At 36.6% G+C, this 25,446-nt stretch overlaps 1 protein-coding gene and 1 pseudogene across 21 annotated transcripts in view; one reads left to right on the top strand and one right to left on the bottom strand.

Annotated features, from left to right (window-relative positions):
- The window catches only part of CNTN6 (contactin 6), a 311,194-nt gene extending 296,174 nt beyond the window's left edge, over positions 1–15,020 (top strand). For all 21 annotated transcript variants that reach the window (XM_011533590.3, NM_001349351.2, NM_001349354.2 and 18 more), the window contains 3 exons: positions 12,236–12,348; positions 13,121–13,289; positions 14,121–15,020. In XM_011533590.3, the coding sequence (XP_011531892.1) occupies positions 12,236–12,348; positions 13,121–13,289; positions 14,121–14,221 (383 nt within the window). In that variant the 3' untranslated portion in view covers positions 14,222–15,020. The remainder of the gene's footprint in view (positions 1–12,235; positions 12,349–13,120; positions 13,290–14,120) is intronic.
- On the bottom strand, positions 4,976–5,251 carry CRB3P1 (crumbs cell polarity complex component 3 pseudogene 1; annotated as a pseudogene).

Raw genomic sequence — 25,446 nt, forward strand, 5'->3', positions numbered from 1 at the left:
GACTAACAGCAGATCTCTCGGCAGAATCTCTACAAGCCAGAAGAGAGTGGGGGCCAATATTCAACATTCTTAAAGAAAACAATTTCAACCCAGAATTTCATATCCAGCCAAACTAAGCTTCATAAGTGAAGGAGAAATAAAATACTTTACAGACAAGCAAATGCTGAGAGATTTTGTCACCACCAGGCCTGCCCTAAAAGTGCTCCTGAAGGAAGCACTAAACATGGAAAGGAACAACCGGTACCAGCCGCTGCAAAATCATGCCAAAATGTAAAGACCATCAAGACTAGGAAGAAACTGCATCAACTAACGAGCAAAATCACCAGCTAACATCATAATATGACAGGATCAAATTCACACATAACAATATTAACTTTAAATGTAAATGGACTAAATGCTCTAATTAAAAGACACAGACTGGCAAATTGGATAAACAGTCAAGACCCATCAGTGTGCTGTATTCAGGAAACCCATCTCACGTGCAGAGACACACATAGGCTCAAAAGGATGGAGGAAGATCTACTGAGCCAATGGAAAACAAAAAAAGGCAGGGGTTGCAATCCTAGTCTCTGATAAAACAGACTTTAAACCAACAAAGATCAAAAGAGACAAAGAAGGCCATTACATAATGGTAAAGGGATCAATTCAACAAGAAGAGCTAACTATCCTAAATATCTATGCACCCAATACAGGAGCACCCAGATTCATAAAGCAAGTCCTGAGTGACCTACAAAGAGACTTAGACTCCCACACATTAATAATGGGAGACTTTAACAACCCACTGTCAACATTAGACAGATCAATGAGACAGAAAGTCAACAAGGATACCCAGGAATTGAACTCAGCTCTGCACCAAGTGGACCTAATAGACATCTACAGAACTCTCCACCACAAATCAACAGAATATAGATTTTTTTCAGCACCACACCACACCTATTCCAAAATTGACCACATACTTGGAAGTAAAGCTCTCCTCAGCAAATGTAAAAGGACAGAGATTATAACAAACTATCTCTCAGGCCACAGTGCAATCAAACTAGAACTCAAGATTAAGAATCTCACTCAAAACCGCTCAACTACATGGAAACTGAACAACCTGCTCCTGAATGACTACTGGATACATAACGAAATGAAGGCAGAAATAAAGATGTTCTTTGAAACCAATGAGAACAAAGACACAACATACCAGAATCTCTGGGATGCATTCAAAGCAGTGTGTAGAGGGAAATTTATAGCACTAAATGCCCACAAGAGAAAGCAGGAAAGATCCAAAATTGACACCCTAACATCACAATTAAAAGAACTAGAAAAGCAAGAGCAAACACATTCAAAAGCTGGCAGAAAGAAAGAAATAACTAAAATCAGAGCACAACTGAAGGAAATAGAGACACAAAAAACCCTTAAAAAATTAATGAATCCAGGAGCTGGTTTTTTGAAAGGATCAACAAAATTGATAGACCGCTAGCAAGACTAATAAAGAAAAAGAGAAGAATCAAATAGACACAATAAAAAATGATAAAGGGGATATCACCACCAATCCCACAGAAATACAAACTACCATCAGAGAATACTACAAACACCTCTATGCAAAGAAACTAGAAAATCTAGAAGAAATGGATAAATTCCTCGACACATACACTCTCCCAAGACTAAACCAGGAAGAAGTTGAATCTCTGAATAGACCAATAACAGGAGCTGAAATTGTGGCAATAATCAATAGTTTACCAACCAAAAAGTCCAGGACCAGATGGATTCACAGCCGAATTCTACCAGAGGTACAAGGAGGAACTGGTACCATTCCTTCTGAAACTATTCCAATCAATAGAAAAAGAGGGAATCCTCCCTAACTCATTTTAGGAGGCCAGCATCATTCTGATACCAAAGCCGGGCAGAGACACAACCAAAAAAGAGAATTTTAGACCAATATCCTTGATGAACATTGATGCAAAAATCCTCAATAAAATACTGGCAAAACGAATCCAGCAGCACATCAAAAAGCTTATCCACCATGATCAAGTGGGCTTCATCCCTGGGATGCAAGGCTGGTTCAATATACACAAATCAATAAATGTAATCCAGCATATAAACAGAGCCAAAGACAAAAACCACATAATTATCTCAATAGATGCAGAAAAAGCCTTTGACAAAATTCAACAACCCTTCATGCTAAAAACTCTCAATAAATTAGGTATTGATGGGACATATTTCAAAATAATAAGAGCTATCTATGACAAACCCACAGCCAATATCATACTGAATGGGCAAAAACTGGAAGCATTCCCTTTGAAAACTGGCACAAGACAGGGATGCCCTCTCTCACCACTCCTATTCAACATAGTGTTGGAAGTTCTGGCCAGGGCAATTAGGCAGGAGAAGGAAATAAAGGGTATTCAATTAGGAAAAGAGGAAGTCCAATTGTCCCTGTTTGCAGATGAGATGATTGTATATCTAGAAAACCCCATTGTCTCAGCCCAAAATCTCCTTAAGCTGATAAGCAACTTCAGCAAAGTCTCAGGATACAAAATCAATGTACAAAAATCACAAGCATTCTTATACACCAACAACAGACAAACAGAGAGCCAAATCATGAGTGAACTCCCATTCACAATTGCTTCAAAGAGAATAAAATACCTAGGAATCCAACTTACAAGGGATGTGAAGGACCTCTTCAAGGAGAACTGCAAACCACTGCTCAATGAGATAAAAGAGGATACAAACAAATGGAAGAACATTCCATGCTCATGGGTAGGAAGAATCAATATCATGAAAATGGCCATACTGCCCAAGGTAATTTATAGATTTAATGCCATCCCCACCAAGCCACCAATGACTTTCTTCACAGAATTGGAAAAAACTACTTTAAAGTTCATATGGAACCAAAAAAGAGCCCGCATCGCCAAGTCAATTCTAAGCCAAAAGAACAAAGCTGGAGGCATCACACTACCTGACTTCAAACTATACTACAAGGCTACAGTAACCAAAACAGCATGGTACTGGTACCAAAACAGAGATCTAGATCAATGGAACAGAACAGAGCCCTCAGAAATAACGCCGCATATCTACAGCTATCTGATCTTTGACAAACCTGAGAAAAACAAGCAATGGGGAAAGGATTCCCTATTTAATAAATGGTGCTGGGAAAACTGGCTACCCATATGTAGAAAGCTGAAACTGGATCCCTTCCTTACACCTTATACAAAAATCAATTCAAGATGGATTAAAGACTTAAATGTTAGACCTAAAACCATAAAAACCCTAAAAGAAAACCTAGGCATTACCATTCAGGACATAGGCATGGGCAAGGACTTCATGTCTAAAACACCAAAAGCAATGGCAACAAAAGACAAAATTGACAAATGGGATCTAATTAAACTAAAGAGCTTCTGCACAGCAAAAGAAACTACCATCAGAGTGAACAGGCAACCTACAAAATGGGAGAAAATTTTCGCAACCTACTCATCTGACAAAGGGCTAATATCAAGAATCTACAATGAACTCAAACAAATTTACAAGAAAAAAACAAACAACCCCATCAACAAGTGGGTGAAGGACATGAACAGACACTTCTCAAAAGAAGACATTTATGCAGCCAAAAAACACATGAAAAAATGCTCATCATCACTGGCCATCAGAGAAATGCAAATCAAAACCACAATGAGATACCATCTCACACCACTTAGAATGGCGATCATTAAAAAGTCAGGAAACAACAGGTGCTGGAGAGGATGTGGAGAAATAGGAACACTTTTACACTGTTGGTGGGACTGTAAACTAGTTCAACCATTGTGGAAGTCAGTGTGGCGATTCCTCAGGGATCTAGAACTAGAAATACCATTTGACCCAGCCATCCCATTACTGGGTATATACCCAAAGGACTATAAATCATGCTGCTATAAAGACACATGCACACGTATGTTTATTGCGGCACTATTCACAATAGCAAAGACTTGGAACCAACCCAAATGTCCAACAATGATAGACTGGATTAAGAAAATATGGCACATATACACCATGGAATACTATGCAGCCATAAAAAATGATGAGTTCATGTCCTTTGTAGGGACATGGATGAAATTGGAAATCATCATTCTCAGTAAACTATCGCAAGAACAAAAAACCAAACACTGCATATTCTCACTCATAGGTGGGAATTGAACAATGAGATCACATGGACACAGGAAGGGGAATATCACACTCTGGGGACTGTGGTGAGGTGGGGGGAGGGGGGAGGGATAGCATTGGGAGATATACCTAATGCTAGATGACGAGTTAGTGGGTGCAGCGCACCAGCATGGCACATGTATACATATGTAACTAACCTGCACGTTGTGCACATGTACCCTAAAACTTAAAGAAGTAAAAAAAAAAAAAAAAAAAGAAACTCTTGTGTGTAATTCAGTTTCTATCTCAAGCAAAATCAAGAGTGATTAGAAATGTGTAAGAAACAAACATTAAAAAAAAAAACACATTGTATCATGGTAGACTGACAGACATTTTAGTGCAGTTATTGAGCCAAGACTCAGGTCAACTTTTATTATACATAATCCCATCAACCAGTTTAAGGTGGATTGAAACTTGAACACTGAACTAATCATTTACCTCAGGAAGAGAGAGATATATCCATATGACATATATAATACCTATACATGTTTTAAAATTCTTATTGAGATTTTCTGTATGATATATACATATATATATTCACATCTCACTACTAATTTTATATAAATATATAAAAGTGAGTAGCCCCACACTCCCTTGACCTCAAGGGCAGTCTTTGAAGCACCTTCTTCCCTGCTATTCTTAAGCACTGGGTGGATCTGATTGCCCAGATAGGGCACTGCCTTTCCCCAAGGTCACACAGCAATGAAGGGGGACAGATGGAGGAGAGGGGGCCTAGATGTGCAGGCAGCCCCACACGGTCTCATTGGAGTACTGAGAGGCCCAGGCCTCAGCTACATAGGAGAACTGCTCCTTGCTGCTGGGCCAGTAGGTGCCCTCCGTCTGCCTCATCTCCGGAAGCTTCCGCACCAATAGTGCCAGCCCCACTGCCAGGAACAAGACAGCCAGGAATCAGAGGACCAAGATGATAGCAGTGACGGCCCCCCGAAACAGGGCTCCACTGGAGCTGGAGCTGGTGGGTGTAGGCCAAACAATGCTACTCTCATTTGCAGAAGGGGTTGATATTTGCGCCCAGGGTCGTTCCCAGGGACGACAGCAGCGGCAGGCCCAGCGCCAGGAGTAGCCCCAGGCCGAGCTGGGTGACGGGTTGACAGTGCCGAGGAAGGGGCTTCTGGCGCGCGCCCCTCCTACAGCATACAGGGCGGGCCATGGGCACCTGCAACGGGGCACCTGACCCAGGTGTCTTTGAAGTCGCTCTGTATATATTCTATATATATATATCAGAACATCTCAGTAATAATTTTTTCTGTCATCTGAATTTGCTAGTTTCATTGTCCATGAAACCTAAATTAAAAGTGTTAGTTTGTGCTAAATTATTCTATGTTTTTAAGCAGAAACAAATCCTTGTTTTTGACACTAAATTTTTTCAGTTGACCCAATTGATCCTACAAATGGGTTGGACAGAAATTCACATCAAATGCTAAAGATTATTGGTTTGTCTGATGGTTAACGTATGATCAATTTGTCAAAGAGTAGGAGATAAAAATTTTCGAAAACAGTTAAATTAACCATGAGTAATTTCACCCAAGACACAACGTTAGAATACCTCTGCTAAGGAAAAAGTGAAATAATAATCAGAAATTCTAAACTGAAGATTAGCGTTCCTTTAAGTATTCAGCTTTCTTAACTAAATCAAACAAGAAAAACCTCTGTAATTCCTAGATATCTAGTTTCAATAGCTCTTAAATTTGACTCTTACCAGCCTGTATGCTTCAGTGACCCTATAAAAATAGCCAACAAGCACCTGAGAATAAGAAGAATATACAAGTCTCCATCCCTTTGCATTTAAATACCTATCCAACCTCTCATTTTATTACTTTGACATTCTACATCACAGACATTGTGAAAGCAGAAGAGTAACTTTTCTATTATTCTATTAATGGCCTTAAACTCAGTGTTTTAAAACAATATAAGTTGCTTATCACACATTTTTGGAGGTCAGGAGTTAGACAGGGGTTTCACTGGGTAGAAATCCAGATGTGCTCAAGGGCTGCACTAGCTTTGGAAGCTCCAAAGGATAATTTGTTTCCTGTTTTCTGGCTTTTGGAGACCACCCATATCCCTGGCTTGTGACCCTCCTTAGGTTTGTGACCCCTTCCTCCATGTTCAATGCCAGCAACAGTAGGGTACCTTCACATCTCTGCCTCTGACCCTCTGCTTCTGTCATCACAACTCCTCTAACTCTCACTTTCTTGCTTCCCTCTTTCCCTTGTACGGACCCTCCTGATGACATTGGAGCCACCTGAATCATCCAAGATTATTTCCTCATCTCCAGACTCTTAATCACATTTGCAAACTCCTTTTCCATATAAAGTAATGTGTCCACAGGTACTGGAGATTAGGATGTGATCATGTTTTGGGGGATCCTTATTTTGCTTACCACAGTTTCAAATTATTGAGCACTTCTATGTCCCCAGCCCTGTATTAACTTTATCATACTAAATCTCACTTAATTATTACAATAAGTCAAGGAGTTTGGTATTTTAATTTCTAGATAGGAGGACACAAATGCTTAGAAAGGTTTTGTCATGGCCTCTGTTAGACTGATGAGCATGAAATCTCTTCATCCCACTACCACTGTGCTCCTTTATCACCTTCCTCCCTAACCATCCCAATAATTTCTCTCCCTGACTGTCAAATCCTCCATCTAAACCTCAAACTGCTTTGAAATTTTTCCTCCTAAAATGCCGTCATACTTCTCTTCTCTTCATCAAATGTCATTGTCTCCTCTATTCCAGAGAATGTAGACTAAGAAAAAGGCAAGCAAGATCTTTCACAATGTGTCTCAAAGCTCCTTTCTATAACATTCCTCTTCTAGCCCTGACATCTCAAACTTACTGATCTTCTAAAGTTTAACATTCACTTACCTGGCTTCATGAAATCTCTCAGCTTGTAGTACCCCTGCCAGGCCTATATATGGTCAAATGGTCTTTTTTCTGCTCTATAGCTTCCCCCAAAATTTCCCCTTTAATGTATTTGCGTTTTTCTAAGAATTCCAATAACTTTGGCCCATTGTGAAACAGTGTTGGAAAAAGTTGGAATGGGACTTCAGAGAGAATTGTGGATATGGATCCCTGCTCAGCCATGTACTATCTGTGTGCCAGATCTAATTATTTGATAACTCTGAATGCATTTTCTCATCTGAAAAATAGAGATGAAGATACTTACCTCTAGCGATTTCTCTGAGAACCAAAGGATATAATGTACACCAAGGTGACCCAGAGGCTGTCATACATCAAGGCTCAGTGCCTGGTAACATGTGTTATTATACTCCTCCTTTAGAGGCAATTTACTTTCTTTGCATTTTTTAAAGTAAGAAACCACAGCTACTTTCTTTCACTTTATAAGTTTGTTGCAGAATTTTCTTTTCTTTAAGGGTCGTAGAAGGACATCCAAAGCATGCATGAAAAACAGCTTTACTGAAACATTGATGATAACCATGATTCCAGGTGCTATTCCTGTATGTAACTTTGACTCTCCATGTCCTTGAGATGACATCAAGATTACCTCTCAATAGTGGTGACTGAAAAAATTCTGCATTCAGCACTGTCACTGTCTAGATTTGTAATCTGATATTTGATCTTCCATTGGAAAGTCTGAAAAAGCAGAGCTCACATTTACCAAAATCTCTGCCTGTTCTAATTGGCTAAGCTAAAGAGAAGACAGAGGTATTTTCTTTGTTTGTTTGTTTTCTCACATGATCATCCAGTCATCTACTCAAGAGATAGTGCCTCCCATGAGCCATGCCTAGAGTTAGATGCTGAGGGCCTAAGAGCAATTAAACCAAGCAAGATCTTTGCCAACCGGCAATTTCTCTTTTAGAGAAGAGGCAACCTAAAACAAGAAAAAAAGACAAATGAATAAAATAATCATAAATTATGAAAAGAACAGTGAAGAAAATAAATGAGAAACTAAGATGTACATAAGGAGCATCTATATGGGATAGGCTATGTATTTTGATACAAAATTAAAGATAAAGAGGAGTTAAAGGACAAAAGAACTTCCAGACAGAAGGAACAGCATATGCCAAACTTCTTAAGTATTATTGTTGCTGTTGATGATGATGATACTAGTATTATTAAACAAATATCAGTGATTCATCTGCAAGTACCAAAGCCTAGTGGAAATGATGGATTTCCAAAAGAAACAGAGGTACTGCAAATATACTGTGATCCACACAGACATTACTTAAATGGAATTTAGATTTACAAGGAAAGAAAGAAAAATATTTATGTCAATTCCAAGCAGAAAAGAAAAGTGAAACAAACAAAACACTACTTATGTGGAAAGAAGTATTCAGACGCAATAACTAAAAGTGTTTGCAAATGTTGGCTCAATTTGGCCCTTGACGTTGACTGACTAGCACTTTGTACTCGATTCTTTCTTGCTGCAAATATGCAATCAATCCATATTTAAACATAAAGGAAGCATTAAGCTTTTATTTTATCTTGCACTTATGTTCTTTCTCTTCTGCCCAAATGTCAACCCCATGCTGTTACTTAGAGGTGTAACATAAGAAGTTGTTTTTGAATTGAGTTCACAGTGTGAACTACAGTTGAAAAGAAATGCCATCTACAGAAAAATTGATTACAGGGAAACCATTAGAATTCTGAGGGGCTAGTTTAATGTTGCTCTGTCATTTGATTAATAGAAAATGATTTAGTCTTTGGAAATTGCCTGGAAAGATTTTAAAAGTTAGAAAAGTGCTTGTTTGCTGAGTTTACCATTGACAGACTTGGTACAAATATCATGACATGTGTTTTGTGCTATCCATGTGGCAGTGTTTTGGTTTCTCAAGATGATAGAAATTTTAATTTTATCATAGATATTTGCAATCCAGTTTAATCAACTATATCAAACCAGAACTGTTAACAGTACTCACATTAAGGTGATGGCCTTCTAAAGCAGCTTTCAGAAGTTTTATTTGTCAATATCAGACATAAAGGATTGACACTGGAGAAACATCCATTGATAAAAATAAGAAAGGATGTAGACTAAGAGATATTCTAAGATAATTAGCTGAGACTCTCCCATTTTATCTCCCTTTCTAAAAACATATCAAGCATCCAAGTAAGAGCAATATTATTAAGGGGAAAACTTGAATGTACACTAATTGTATCTAAGAAGTGAATCATTTGCAAACTTCAGAGTTGGATTATTAGCAACAAACCACTTCGAACACAACTGAAAAATTGATTATGTCATAACACCACAGTGGAGAACTGCTACTCTTGGAAGAGAATTAACAGTTACAGGGCTTTTTAATATATACCACTAACCAAATGAGGAATATTTCATATTTTATTTCATATCTCATAAATTAGGAGTTATTCGTTTCATTTTATAATGGGAAAATCCGGCTCTTGGAAGAGATTGGATACAAATTCAAGTCTCTCTGACATCAAAGCCCAACTCTTCTCATCTCCCAGAGAGCAAGAGAAGTAAAACATTCTAAATAATCTGTATAATTGGCTATTCATACCAAGGTACTCACTCCGAATGCAACTCTTCTCGTTTTATGCCCACAGAAAGTTGTGCTTCTGCTTTGGTAGATGAGGACACAAATGCAAACATGTCAATGACAAAGTCATTGCCAACATTGCAAACTGCTCCTTTACATAGCTGGAAGAAATCAATTCTGTCTCCTAGCCAGTTGATTTTTTCAATGGATTTATAGTGTTGAAAACAATACTTTTTCCTAAAACAAACAAAACATCCGGAAATACATAAAACATTCAGAATCCACACTGCCAATGACACTGAAGTGGTGAATTTGTATTTTCTCTGTATTGATTATATAATGGTAATGTTAGTGCTGAATTTTAAAGAACAGAGATAAAAAGAAAGGTATCAAGAGTAGACTAGATATTAAAATTGCAATATCCTGTGAGAATTTTGATATTATATCTTTTATAGCTGAGAAAAAGATTTTAAAAGGCACTGGAGGATAAGTTGAGGAAGGATAGTTACAAAATAATTCTTGCTGCCATTCAGACCTTTAGAAATAAATATGTTGATAAGCATTATAAATGACAAGTACGTTGTACATTGACAAGCAAAGTAATGGATGCTTAGTAAGCTAAAAGCTTTCAGGCCTTTAATTATGGGTTTATATTGTCAAGAAATGTACCAGGACATGGTCAATCCAATTGGCCTGTCCATCTTATAAATAGGTATGGATTGCTATGAGTCTGACCACGGCAATTGGTCTTGATCATAGGACAACATAATGAATGGATTGGCTGTATTGTGTCACCTATGGATCTGCCCAGAGCCCAGTGCATAATCAATACAGCCTGAGAAGATCACCACAGGGCCCTGAACAGTTTTCCTTAGCCACCTTATTGTACAGTCATTTATTCAACGTGTATGAATTGGATGTCTCCTATGTGCCAGGCACTGTGCTAGGGGTTAGTAATACAGAGTTGAGTAAGGCACTTGCCCTCAAGAAATTTAAACAAACACATAACCAAGAATAAATGTAAACCAATGTGATAAACCTATAATAAAATATGAACTAAGCCTCATGTAAGCATACAGGGAAACATTTCTCTATCACATCCCAACTGGACTGTAAGTGATTGAGTGAACAATAGTGATATCCCAGTGGAAGTGGGGTGGAAAGAGAATGTATGGTAATATATTTGAGACACCTGGATTCAGCAATATGTGAATCTTCCAGTGACACACAGGAGATTAAACAGCAGTTGACTCAAAACTATGAAAGAAATAGTTTCCACTTCTACCAGTGTTATAATGAATTAAATATTATGCTCACTCAGCCTCACAAATTCAAAAGAGATGCCAAAAACATCTTGTTGGGCAGTTTTATCTTTACTTCCACTTTCCAGATGAATTATTTTATATCTCTCCAGTTTCAATCTCAAAAATAGTCATGTGGACTCAGATAAGCAGCAAGTTGTTCTGCAGAAACACTAGACTGAAAGCGCTAGACCAAGATTCGTCAGCTGCATGCTTTTGGATAAGTGACTTCCCAACCTGGATTCTCGTTTTCTTGTATGTAAAATTCTCTAGTTGGACTATATCCATTACTTTAGAAGCCAGATTCTAAATCTTTCATCTCTTATCTCCCACCATCTCTCACGCAGACAACATTAATTTCAGAAAACTAAAAGTCGCAGTTTGGATTTAAAGTTGATGTCCTTTGGGATGATCAATCAGTTTGTGATGATTTTCCCCTTTTCTGGCTTCCCAAAAGCTCCATTTATTTTAAACGGCATGCATCTTTCACATTGTCCAGACACAGTTGATTAAGCTAAGATAGACATACGACCAAATGAAGTCAATCATCAGCTTTCTCAGGGGAACTCAAACTTGGACTATCTCTGAACAGAGGAGGTTTTAAGTTTCAGGTGTGGTGAACAGTCATGATTTCTGCCGTGTGCAGTGAGAATGACAAAGAGGTACTCTCTGGCAAGATGAGTATACAGCAGACCCTGCTTCAATAAGCAGAGTGAAGACTGTGGCTTTGTGACATTTTTTTCTCTCCTCAGACTCTGCTGCAATCTGCCATGACTTATAAGAAATATCCTTGATAATTTACTACAAATATTTTGCTTAAAATATCTTGAGTTAGTTGTGTTACAGTTAGAAAGCTAACTAATACAATGTTAAAAAGTAAAGAATTTTAGGAATGAACATCTATGTGTTGATATATATAAAATGTTTGCAACTTGAATTTGCCAAACATGCTCATTGATTGATGGCCAAATGGAATCCTAGATAAAGAGACCCTCTGTCTGTTTATATATGATAAAGTAAACAAACTCAACAGCAATGATTAATAAATTAATACTGGACATGCAGCAAGCCATTATTAATTCATAAGTCTGTCACAAAGGCATTCCCAAATGACCAGATTTGAATAAATTTGCTTACTGTGATTAGAATTAATATATTTCAAATGACACTGAAGACATTTTAGCTCCTTCTATGCAAATCATCGAAGACTTATTTTTTCTTTTCATGTTGATGCATCATACTTTGACCATGAGCTAATTAACATTCATTTGGATCTTTGATTATCTCTTTAAAGCTCCAAGCCAACCACCAGCAAACATTGCCTGGAAGCTGACAAACTCTAAATTATGCTTGAACTGGGAGCATGTAAAAACCATGGAAAATGAGTCTGAAGTTTTGGGGTACAAGGTGAGTTTTTAGTTTTTCCTTTAATCATATCAATTAAGTTACTAAGGAATGAAACATGTGACACCCAAATGGAAAACAAATTGGATGCATATGGAAACACTGGAATCTTTTTCAAAATTATTTTGAAAATACCATTGCTGCTTTCTAATTTTCCATTGAAAATGTTTTACATTCCAAGGTCCAGTAATGTATTAGGGAACATCAATAAATCAAATTCCATAGGATGTAACATTTTTTCTTCAAGTGGCATCCCTTGCTATCATAAGATGATGGCTTATGTGCATAGTAGATGTGATGACAATGAGATCAAAAAATATATCTAAATAGAGATTTTAGAACTTAGGCTGCAGTATGATGTGATCTTTTAACAACATAAAAGGCATCTAACAAGAGTACAATCAAGTACCCAGAGCAACTCATTTCCATCAGTGACAATGGACATCATCTCTTGGCAGACATATATTCAACATTTGAAATGGGTCCAAACTCAACAGTGACTTTCCACAGCAAGCTCCAATGATAATAGCCTCAAGCTATTTAACTAATAGGGATAAATCTACTCTCCTTCCAGAGGCATTGGCCAAAAAAAAAAACACCTCTTTTTCTTAACAGGAGCAATGGAATATAAGGAAAAGACATCACTTGGATATTTCCATCTGAGGAGTACAACATTTATGATGATGTATCTTATGTCTTACAGTGTTCCAGAACAGTTGTGTGAACCTTAGAAAAGCAACATGTCCATGTTAACTTGATACCTCATTTTATTCAGATTCTGTACCGGCAAAACAGACAGAGTAAAACTCATATTTTGGAAACAAACAATACATCAGCTGAGCTTCTGGTTCCATTTGAAGAAGACTACTTAATTGAAATAAGAACAGTCAGTGATGGTGGAGATGGAAGCAGCAGTGAGGAAATTAGGATTCCAAAAATGTCAAGTAAGTTGAGTCACCATTGCTGTAGTAGATTCTGAACCTAGACAGCTGCAGCATGAAATTCAGCTCCATGAAACCTTCCAGTTATGGCTTAAATGTTGGGTGATAAGATAAATTTTCAATTGTGAGCAAAAGGTGATGAGCCATTTTTTTAAGTTATTCTCCAAAATTATAACATACACTATAAATGGTTTTATGCTTCCTCATTTGAAAACCAAAAAGAGAACAGGAAAAAAAATCTTTGTGTCATTAGAGCATAATTGTATCACTCATTCTATTATCACAAAAATCAGAAAGATTTTTCATAGATTCTTTCGGGTCTTTTACAACAGGAATGGCAAATATGAAGCACAGGTAAATATACACCCTTTCCCATGTTCATGGCAGACATCACTAATCAAGTGTGGCTTTCATAAGGAGCTGAGTCACAACTTTCAAGTCCTCCTCAAAACAATTTTCTAAGCCAACCAACACCAGTCAGTCAGAGTTAGCAGGCAATAATAATGTATCATTTTTGCATTAGAAAAATCACTTACTCATCTGCCTGAAGCTGTGATTGAGTGCAAGTCATTAGCATCCAATGTTGGCCAATCCTTTAGGCAGACTTTGCCAATTTAGGGATTTTCCTTTTGCATTTTTATACTTAAATCAGATGTCCTTGGACAAAGACACGGTAAGGCACTTTCTAAAATTAAATATAATGTGAATGAGACAAGTATAATAAAATATGTTACTAGAAGAGAAATGATAGTATGAAATTGGGGTTTTGAAAAATTAATCTAACAGGCAATACTTTATCTCAAAATATTTTTGTCTTATTTTTATATTTTGCAGGTTTGAGTTCCAGAGGAATTCAATTCTTAGAACCTAGCACCCATTTTCTTTCCATTGTCATTGTGATTTTTCACTGTTTTGCTATTCAGCCACTTATCTGATGAATAAAACCATAAATCTTTGAGAGTTTTTTGAAAGCAAATCATTCTGTATATATGCTCTCCAGCCTCTGACACAAGATGCGTTCTTAATACAGACTTGTTTGCAAAGAAAAAAAAAAGTATATTATTAAAATCCTGTAAATATCTATGGTATATTAATAAAACAATTTTAAACACTTTTGAATTTTAAAATCCGCACATGATTACATGAATTCCTAGGTGCCACATTAACCTGGGGAGTTGTAACTGCTGTGTCTTTTAAGTTACTTATATGGAGAAAATAAATAACTCCCCTCAATGATGCTGATGATGAATACAAACTTGGCTCCTAGTTACCATAACTCACATGTACATTTTTATGTATTCCAGACAATCACTTCAGTATTTAAAATTTCCACCCTACTTCAAAATAAAATACAATTATTTGTTTATAGTTGGGATTCTTTAAAAATACAAACTATTCCAAAGCATGGGGTGCTTTTATCTCTGAATCAAGTTGGAATAAGAAATCTTTTTACTCAAGAATATTTCAATATACATGATGTTCTTCTCAGCCCACTTTTCAGAAGATTCAGTCACAATAAAGGCAGAAAAAGTATTTTATGGCAAAGAAAAATAAATGATGGGAAATGAGCACCCACCTAAAATAATCTTCTAACAACTCTGGTATATATTAAGCAATTGCTCATGGCAAAGTTGAACATTTGAACTGCTGCATGAACAAATCTCAGGTAATTATGACAAGTTGATTGCAATGTATGTGGCCTTATTTTTATAATAAAACAATGTGGAAACAGAATTATTTGATCAAGTTTTCTACACTTTGGTCAAAATATTATTTTTTGCCAATCTTCTCTGCAGCTATGAAAACAATTCTACATGAACCAGGGTTTAGAAAGATTGTGTGGGTTGACTTTTCTCTAGGGTGAGCCTGTTTCAGTCAGTGACCTCACTTCTTAGGATTGTGTAGTCTGGAGAAAGCAGTCTGGGAGAAGGTGAGATTAGTGACCTGGCCCATAGAATGCTATGTAACCACCCCCCTTCCTCCACAAACAGCCTTGAGAGGTCAGTTCCTGCTGTCAGCCTTCTCTGGCTCCCAGCCAGTCAGGTTTGTTGTCCTTTAGAGCTAAATGTGAGAAATGCTCACGTGACTTTTATCTTCTTAACATGGTGCAACCTCTTAATTATGTTGAGAATATTTGAGCTATTCTCACAACCCTCAAATCATACAATCCTCAATATGGGATTTTGTCATTTGCATGTCTGAGGTATTTTAGAACTCTTTAAAATACCCCATGTAGTCAGCAGCAGATGAACAATGGCTTTCATAGTTCAGAACTTGCTCCTTGCCTGAACAGTGTGTCAAGCACACAATGCAAATTAATGAGCCTTATTCTCCCCATTGCCATATGATCTGACTGTGCTTTTGTAGAGCAAAACAAATAAGCAACAACAAATACTATTTGGCACACCCGTGTTAACAGCTGCCTGGCCAAGATACATCTGAATTGACCAGAGATACCAGTGCTGGCACATGGTCTTAATGGTTTCCTTAATTTGGTAAGAGACAAGATTTGTGTCCTCCTCCCCAAAGAAGACATTGAGGGTTAAAAATACTGTGAGGTTTTTGTTTCTACTAATTAAGTGAATCAGATATACAGTCATTTGTGTGTGAGTTCAAAAGCTAAGTTAGTTTTTATCAATAATTCTTATATGTTTGCAGAGTACTATTTAGTTCATGATTTCTGGAATATTAAATGTCTGTATTCACTGTCTAACATATCTAACATATTATTTATCTTTTCATCAGTTCACTAAATTTTTCAGAATATACTTTGGCATTAATAATAAGCAGCATGGGCTTTGGTGCGATAGGAATCTCTCCTCTTAGTGAAAACTTGGACATATTTCTTTTAACATCTCCATTTCACTAATATCAGAACAATAGAGTGTTATGTACATAAGGTATTTGGCATGGTGCAAGGAACATTGTAAGTTGTCAATAAATGGAGCTGCTGTTATCTGCTGCTATGAATTAAATCCCAAATGACATAAGTTATTACGTTTACATATCCAATATATTATGAAAATAGTTTCAACCTGTGTTTATGTCAAAATCCAAACCAGCTTCAAGAAAAATGAATTGATCACCTACTCTCCATACTACATGGCACTCAAGGATGAAAACAGTGGTGATTCTAATAACCTGTTTCAGGGAAATGTTCTACATGATGTGTATACTCCTCTGACATTCAAGAAGGATTTCCAGTGCATCCCTGTATTGACTGAGTAGACTGCTGTTATAAACATGATATGTCATTTCCATACTTCCTACAAAAAAGGGAGATAATGTGATTGTACCTGGAAATGGCTGGAGAAGGAACCAGAAATAAGGTTTAGGAGACTCAACACAGTGGAAATACCACTTTAAAGCTATGGACTGCCTAGATCGTGTAGAGTTCAAACACAGCTTCATTTTTTTCTCTTTTGTTCACACTCTAATCCTCCATGCTCAGTGTCTCTTTTCTATCTATACAGCAGGGGGTGAGGAGGGCATGGCTGCTGTCTTTAAAAACAAATGCAGATGGTGAGGGATGACCTGGAACCTATATGGATTCTAAATGTAATAACATAATTATTACTTCTCATAAGTAAATCTAGTATTTTTATACTTCTATGTATGTCAGTCTTGAGATGCAACATGGAGTACACACTCCTGTATTAGTCCATTTTCATACTGCTATGAAGAAATACCTGAGATTGGGTAATTTATAAAGAAAAAGAGGTTTAATGGACTCACAGCACCACATGACTGGGAAGGCCTCATAATCATGGTGAAAGGTGAAGGAGGAGCAAAGACACATCATACATGGCAGCAGGCAAGAGAGTGTGTATAGGGAAACTACCCTTTATAATACCATCAGATCTCATGAGACTTATTCACTATCATGAGAACAGAAAAAAAAAAAACCACCCCCATGATTCAATTACCTCCCACCAGGTCCCTCCCATGACATGTGGGGATTAGGATTATGAGAGCTACAAGTCAAAATGAGATTTTGGTGGGAACACAGCCAAACCACATCAACTCCCTGTGTACAATTATTACTTAATGTGCTATAGAACTACATATTGAATTCAGGAGATATTTTGTTCTAGACAATCACATCTTTGTTGAGGTCAATACTTGCATTAGGATTCTCCAGAGAAACAGAGCCAATAGGGTGTGTGTGTGTGTGTGTGTGTGTGTGTGTGTTTGTGGAGAGAGAAAGAAATATATTACAAGGAACTGACTCATGTGATTATGGAGACTGAGAAGTCCAAATGCAAGAGAGCCTTTGATACAGTTCCAGACTGAGCTGAAGGCTAAGAACCAGGAGGGCCAATAGTGTAAATTCCAGTCGGAGTCCAAATCCAAAGGCAGGATGAAACTTACTTATAATCTAGCTCAAAGACAATCAGGCAAAGAAGAATAATTGTTTCTTACTCAGGCTTCTTGTCTATTCAGGCCTTCACCAGATTGGATGATGCCCACCTGCAATGAGGAGTACAATCTGCCCTACTCCATCTACCAATTAAATGTATTAATCTCATCCGCAAAATCCATCACAGACACAGCTAGAATGTGTAATCAAATATCTGGGCACCAAATGGCCCAGTGGAGCTGACACATAAAATTAACTATCACAGTATTCTTTGGGCTGATATTAAATAATTCAATTCTGCTTTCATCAGCTTTTGGAATGAAATTATTTAAATGCTCCTCTCAATTTATTCATTTGTAAAATCATATGTTGGGATGACAAGATCTCAGAGTTCTTTTAAAACTCTATAATTTTGTACTAATGTGCATAATGTGTGACTTCTTTGGGTATAAGACAGTATTTCAGAAACCTTCACAACCCACACATACTCTACAGTCCTTTCCCTTTTTTTCCCCTGTGTTTTTACCAGTCGTTCCGTGCCTTTTAAACTGGAGTTTACATTACTAAAATTGAGCATGCTTTTTCAAACTACAAAAGACCCTCAGAGTTTCTAACCCGTCTCTGCACTCCATTGAGAATCACTGGTGTATTGCAGTGGTTCCCAAGGGCAGGACTATAATGAAGTTTTCACTGTTCAGTGAAAAAAATAAGAAAAACATGTAGAGTTTGGTGAGCTATTCATAATGAATAATTTGTGAAATATGGCTTTCCTGCACTGTGAAATGCTCATTCTTTGGGGAAACAAAGTTGAGAATGGATCACAGTTTGTTTTACCTGCTCTGTTTTAAAATAATTTACTTGGGAAAAGAGTAGATTACTTTATATCAAGTTCAATTATTTTTATTATTAAAAATGTTTATCTTCTAAGGAAAATGAAAAGTTGAAAACCACTGGTGTTGTCATCTTTTTAATATTTCTTTAATCTCATAACCATTAAATTAGCAATTTGACTTTGTGTGTTGAACTGTAGTTTATATGCCAAAACACCAAGGTTCTGAGTTCTATAGAATTATTGTTTACTTATATAAATATTTATATTTACTTATAAATTTACTTATATGAATATTAATTTACTTATATAATTATATTAATTTACTTATTAATTTACTTATATAAATTACTTATATACATTTACTTATATAAATCTAGGAAATATGGCCTACCACTTATAACAAAACATGAATATAATTAGATTGCAAGAAAAATAGAATGTCAAAATCCTGACTTTTTTAATATCTTAAAATATGGAAATTATTTGCTTTCCACTTTTCTATGTTAAAAATTATTTCATGAAATTAAATATAGTTAGCTGTTAGGCTTTCTTTAATGTATTTACAAATGATTTTAGCAAAATAATTTTATTTTAGCAAAATAATTTTTATTGAAAGATACATTTATTTCTTCAGTTTTTTTCAAATATTATTGTTCTTAACAGTGCTTGGTGTGGTCCTGGGCAGAGAATGATGCTTAAAACATGTATTTGCTTTCTGGACTGATTTATACAGCCAACTGTTGGCAATTTGTTTTCCCTTGGTTTCCTTAATAAAATAAGGGCCAGGCAAGGTGGCTTATGCTTGTAAACTCCCAGTAGTTTGGGAGGCCAAGGCTGGTGGATCACCTGAGGTCAAGAGTTTGGGACCAGCCTGACCAACATGGTGAAACTCCATCTCTACTAAAAATACAAATTATTAGCCAGGCGTGGTGCACATGCCTGTAATCCCAACTACTCTGGAGGCTGAGGCAGGAGAATCGCTTGAACCCGGGAGGAGGAGGTTGCAGTGAGCTGAGATCGTGCCTAAACTCCGGATTTTGGTGGGTAAATAATATATCTCTGAAATAAATAAAATAAATAAAAATAAAATCCTTCGAATATTGTCATTTGAAAAAACATCAGAAATGCTGGTATGTTGCTATTTTAAAACACATACTTTAAAATCTAGTTAGATGTGCCTTAGAAGATCCTTATTTTGTTTGGAGTAAAGCTCTGGAGGAAAGCTCACGCGATGACTCTTTAAATAAAGATAGCAAGTTGCAGCTCAATGAGAGTGAAAAGAAATCTTGATGTAAAGTGTTTTGTTCCCTACACCCATTAAAGAGAAGGAGTAAGCTAGGCTAAAATGTTTGTGGGTATATCATGTTATTCCTGGAACTGAATGCTCTGTTGGATAGAATCCTATTCTTAAGCAGTGATTAATTAATGTTTATAAATCACTTCAAAGATGGAAAGCATTGTATAAAGTCTAATCATTTCTATTATAGTGATTTTTTTCCAAGAAGTATATTGACTTTTTGCAATAGCAGTTTGAAAAAGCATGCATTTGTGACTGAGGCCAGGTATCATGCCTGGAGGAAAATAGTAATTGGAAAGTTTGAAAGGTAATAATTCTGAGATACTGAAAATTTAGGTGAATTTATAATAGCAGACTATTATAAATTAGTCCAGTCTGCATGGACTAAATAATTTTAATTCAAACGTGAAGTAATCTACATCTATTCATGACAGTTTTCAGCCTGTGAAATAAATGTCATAGCAACAGACTGTGTTCCTGAAATGATATATACCTGTAACAAACCTCAGGTAATCTCAGGGGCTTTCATAGTAACAATAATGAGTTTAGGGAACTTTTATTACCTGTAACTGCAGTAGTTATAAAACCCCCCAAAACTAAAACTAACTTGGAACAGATTCATTTTAGCCTATTTTTGTTGACAGAAAGCGTAATTAGATATATTACTGGCCTTTTTTCCTTATCTGTGTAAAAGTGAAAATGTTGTAATTTAGGCATCAAAATTACTGTTGTATTTAGACTTGCAAACATACTGAGATATTTTCATCTTCTAAATTCTTAAAAGAATAGAGTCTATATATATATATATATATATATATATATATATATATATATATATATTTTTTTTTTTTTTTTTTTTTTTTTTTTTTTGAGACAGAGTCTTCCTCTGTCACCCAGGCTGGAGTTCAGTGGCATGGTCTCGGCTCACTGCAACCTGTGCCTCCCAGGATCAAGGAATTCTCCTGCCTCAGCCTCCCCAGTAGCTGAGATTACAGGCACGCACCACCACGCCCAGCTAATTTTTGTATTTTTTTAGTAGAGATGGGGTTTCACTATGCTAGCTAGGCTGGTCTCAAACTTCTGACCTCAGGTAATCTACTCATCTCAGCCTTCCAAGTGCTGGGATTACAGATGTGAGCCACCGCCCCTGGCCGAGTCTACAATTTTCTAAAAGAGATTCCTAAGTCCGAGGACATGGCTCAGGTTATTTTGAGTAATGTTTGGACTCACATAATATTTCAAACTAGATGACAGTTGAAAAAAGACTGTAACTAGTTAAGGAAAATCTGAAAACCCACAACTTGTTGGTGTCAATAGGTAGACAGTACTCGAGAGGCTGAGGCTGGAAGATGACTGGATCTCAGGAGTTCAAGGCTGCAGTGAGCTATGATCACGCCACTGCACGCCAGCCTGGGCAACAGAGCAAGACTATGTCTCAAAGAAAAAATTGACAGAATGGAAATTAATATTCATTTAATATCTGTTGATAACAACTAAGATACCAGATTTTTCTACCTGAAATTGATATTCTTCATCAGAAAACTTCATGCCTTGTATTATATCATGTTACATTAGGTTGCCTTACACCATATTTTATTATTTAATTATCATATGTCTCATTTTGTTTTAGAAAATGAATAATGAGTTCCAGAGGCGATGGACCTTATCTTTGCATTTCCCCTTGCATCCATCACACCCAGAAGAGTACCTGACATCCAGTAGTTGCTCAACACATATGTTTTCAATGAATATACAAACAAAAGAAAGTGTTGAGTGTGCATTACTTAATAAAATCTCATTGCCACTCCTGGAAAAGTGGCAAAGCTAACCTAAAGAATTTTGTCTTTTGTAAAGCTTTCATATTAAAATATTATATTGTTTTTGCCTTATTATTTTTAATAATTTATCATGGGGGATTTAACACACTTTTAAACATTTTTATCATCTTGTTATTATTGCTCTTTTTTGGGGTGTCTTTACTTGGGGGCTTTTATTAATTTTATTTTATTTTATTTTATTTTACTTTAAGTTCTGGGATACATGTGCTGAACGTGCAGGTTTGTTACATAGGTATACATGTGCCATGGTGGTTTGCTGCACCCATCAACCCATCATCTAGGTTTCAAGCCCCGCATGCATTAGGTATTTGTCCTAAGGCTCTCCCTCCCCTTGTCCCCCACCCCCAACAGGCCCTGGTGTGTGATGTTCCCCTCCCTGTGTCCATGTGTTCTCATTGTTCAGCTCCCACTTATGAGTGAGAACATGCGGTATTTGGTTTTCTGTCCCTGTGTTACTTTGCTAAGGCTGATTGTAAAACAGTATAATTGAATATGACATACAGTTGATGCAGCACTCTCTGCATATAAAATATTTTAATTTTTTAAAGCTTTCTAAGATTAAAATAAATTTTAAGGGTAATGCTTTTTTAACAGAAAATACCATGTAATTTTATGAGAGTTTCTTTTCCTTCCCCTCAAAGATTTTTAAAAGACAATTCTCAAAATTTGTATAAACATGGCTATTAGAATTGCATAACCAAGCCAGAGAGCAACATCCATGGTGTCACAGAAGCCATGAGGATCATTCCAAGGTCTAAGTTGCAATTATTTTCCCTGCAGCCGAATTAACTAAAGTCTATACCCTTGATCATACACATAACAAAATGTAATAATCTTGTCATGCTACAATATTAAATCCATATATTCAGCCAGGAAGATATTTTTAGTTGGCAGATATAACACAAACTTATGACTTCCCCTTTTTAGGTGCTACTTCTTTAGGTCATACTGTAAGATTCACTCAGTTTTATTTCCAAAAGCTCAAAATAACTGATGGATTTGCTGAAAATTTCAGAGAAAAAATAGTTCTTTGGCATTAAGGAAGTGGCAAACTTTCAGTACAAGGTCAAACAGGTTAGATGTCATCAGTGCCTCTTTACTTAAAGATGAAAACAGCTGTCAATGTTTAGATGTCAGATTTCATGTAAATCTCACTGTCCTTGAACCACTCTCAGTCTGCCTTCCTTCATGGCACTAAGCTGGTGAACTAGTGAGTAAGTCTTCTCTTCGAGAGGGAGCATTCTTCTCTTTACCATGCTCCTTTCCCAGCTTTCATAATCCATTTATGAACCTATCTGGCCCTTTTAGACATTTGAGTTTTGACCCTTGTTATATATGATGCAATGTACCTAGAAGACAATATTTTATGGAGTCATTGTTTTTTACACCATATTACCTTATGCTCATTTATATGAACACCTCATTTCAGCTGTCATGAACTATGAGCATTTAATGTAAGAAAGTTGAACATTTACATAACAAGAAAAATAAAATTATAATGATAAGGAATTCATCTTGTAAAAATATGTATTTCTTTTTACATTGGGGTCAGAAACATGGCAACTACTCATGGAATAGATACATTCACATTTATAATTGATCAAATCTGTCAAGAAAACATTACTTGTTTACCATGTTCTATGCATTGCACTTGACTCTACGAAAAAAAAAAAAAAAAAAAGCAGTGAAGAAGAGAAACATGCCACCGAGGTGAGGAGCAGGTAATAATTAAGCCAACTCTTCTCACTTCAAAACAACAATCACCTGTTATGATAAGTGCTGAGGAAAAACAAGGAAGATGCTCTGATAGAGGATAAAACATGGGGCCAGATGGGTACCCCAAACTGGATTGGCAGATGGCTATTCTTAGAGAAATATCATTTACAGAGAGACTTGAATGATGCAAAAGGTAGGCATGTTAAAAACGGAGAAAAAAGTATTCCAGACAGAAAAAGAAAAAAAGTCTGCAAATGCCTTGAGGAGAGGAAGAGCTTGGTATGTTCTAGTTACTCAAGGAAGTCTGGTGTGGATGGAAGATGGAGCTGAAAGGAGACTGAGGCATGAGTTCACAGAGCCAACTGGAACCTGGTGATCCTGAAAGTTCCAGGTCTTCAGAAGTAACTTGGATTTAGGTTTTAAACATTACTTATGTTTTAAGAAGATCACTCTGGTTACTGTGTGGTAAGTGGATTGCCATGTGTCAAGGAGAGAAACGAAGATTCTAATAGTAGTCCTTGTAATAGATCAGTGGTGGGTAGACTAGTTTGGTGGCAGGTAATAGACCTGTAGACTTGTCAAGAATTGCCCATTGATGAGATATAAGGAGAGTGAGGGATCCCTCTGAATATTTTAAAGCTACCTTTATTTTATCACATGGAGAATACCAGGGAATGATCATTCCTAGGAATACAGAAGATAGGGTGGTAGTCAAGATTCAGTTTGGGACATAAGTTAGAGATCTCTATGAGAGATCTGGGTGGAGTTGTTAAAGAGACAGATCTGGCAATTAGGGTCAAGGAGATCTGGGTTTCCCCAGAAGTTCTAGCTCTTTTATTAATGAGCAACACTGACCCTTGACTTGGAAGGTGACATTTGAGGTGACCTACTTCACTTTATGAGTCTCAAATTTTTCTTCCATATAATGCACTGCTTTGTTAGAGGAACACTTACATTATTATTAGTACTCAAGCAGTATAAATGTTGGACATTACTATTTTATGACAAGAACTCTCAAACTGCAAGATACTGAGTCAGTCATTGAAAGAGTTAAATTCAGATTACCATGCTGGCTTTATTAGGCTTAAGAGTGTTTTTGCCTTTAAGATGTTCAGAAAAAAGTTAACTATAATATACACAATGGAATACTACTCAGCCATAAAAAAGAAGGAACCCTTGTAATCTGTGACAACATGGATGAACCTGTAGGACGTCTTGTTAAATAAGCCAGGCACCAAAAGACAAATATTTCATGATCTCACTAATATGTGGAATCTTAAAAAGTTGATCTCATAGAAGCATAGAGCTGAATGGTGGTTATCAGAGGCTGGGGTGATTGTAGGGGAATGCACGTGAAGAGTTGGGAAGATGATGGTCCAAGGATACAAGCTTTCCATTAAATAGGATGAATAAGTTCAAGAGATCTGTTGTACCACAAGGTAACTACAATTAGCAGCATATTGTATTCTTAAAAATGCTAAGTGGGTATAAAGTGTTCTCTCCACAAAAATGATAGTTACGTGATGTAATGAATACGCTAATTAACTAGATTTAGTTGTTCCACAATGTATATATCATTTAAAACATCATGTTGTGCATGATAAATGAATCTAATTTTATATGTCAACTTACAAATTTTTTAAAGATCATAAAAAGGAATTAACTGGAAAACTCCATTCCAAAATTAAATTGGTCATTAAGATTGAATACTGATAATTAATTCAGAACAAAAAGATTGTTCAGGTGTGACCAAATTCTAAAATGAGAAATTAACAAGTTTTGTTTTTTATCCTTGACTTGATTCTAAAAACAGAGTTCTCAAACTGTAAACTCATAAGCTTAAAGTAAACTTACGATTTGCTGGTCCTTGGCATTTTTCTTTTGCACCTTTAGAATTTTGCTTATGCTCCTTTTTCTGCATGGAATGTTCTCTTTCCTTTTTCTGCCTGGAATATTCTCTTTCCCTTTTCTGTGTGAAATATTCTCTTTCCTTTGCCTGGGGAGCAGCATCTTCAGCTACCAGCTCCAGTGCCAGCCACTGCACTGCTGAGACTTTTGCTGCAGCCCACTCTCCTCAGACCACTCTCGCATTTTACTCAGTCCCTGGAGCTCCCTGT

The sequence above is a fragment of the Homo sapiens genome, chromosome 3 (genome assembly GCF_000001405.40).
Source record: "Homo sapiens chromosome 3, GRCh38.p14 Primary Assembly".
In the NCBI taxonomy this organism is placed as follows: Eukaryota; Metazoa; Chordata; class Mammalia; order Primates; family Hominidae; genus Homo; species Homo sapiens.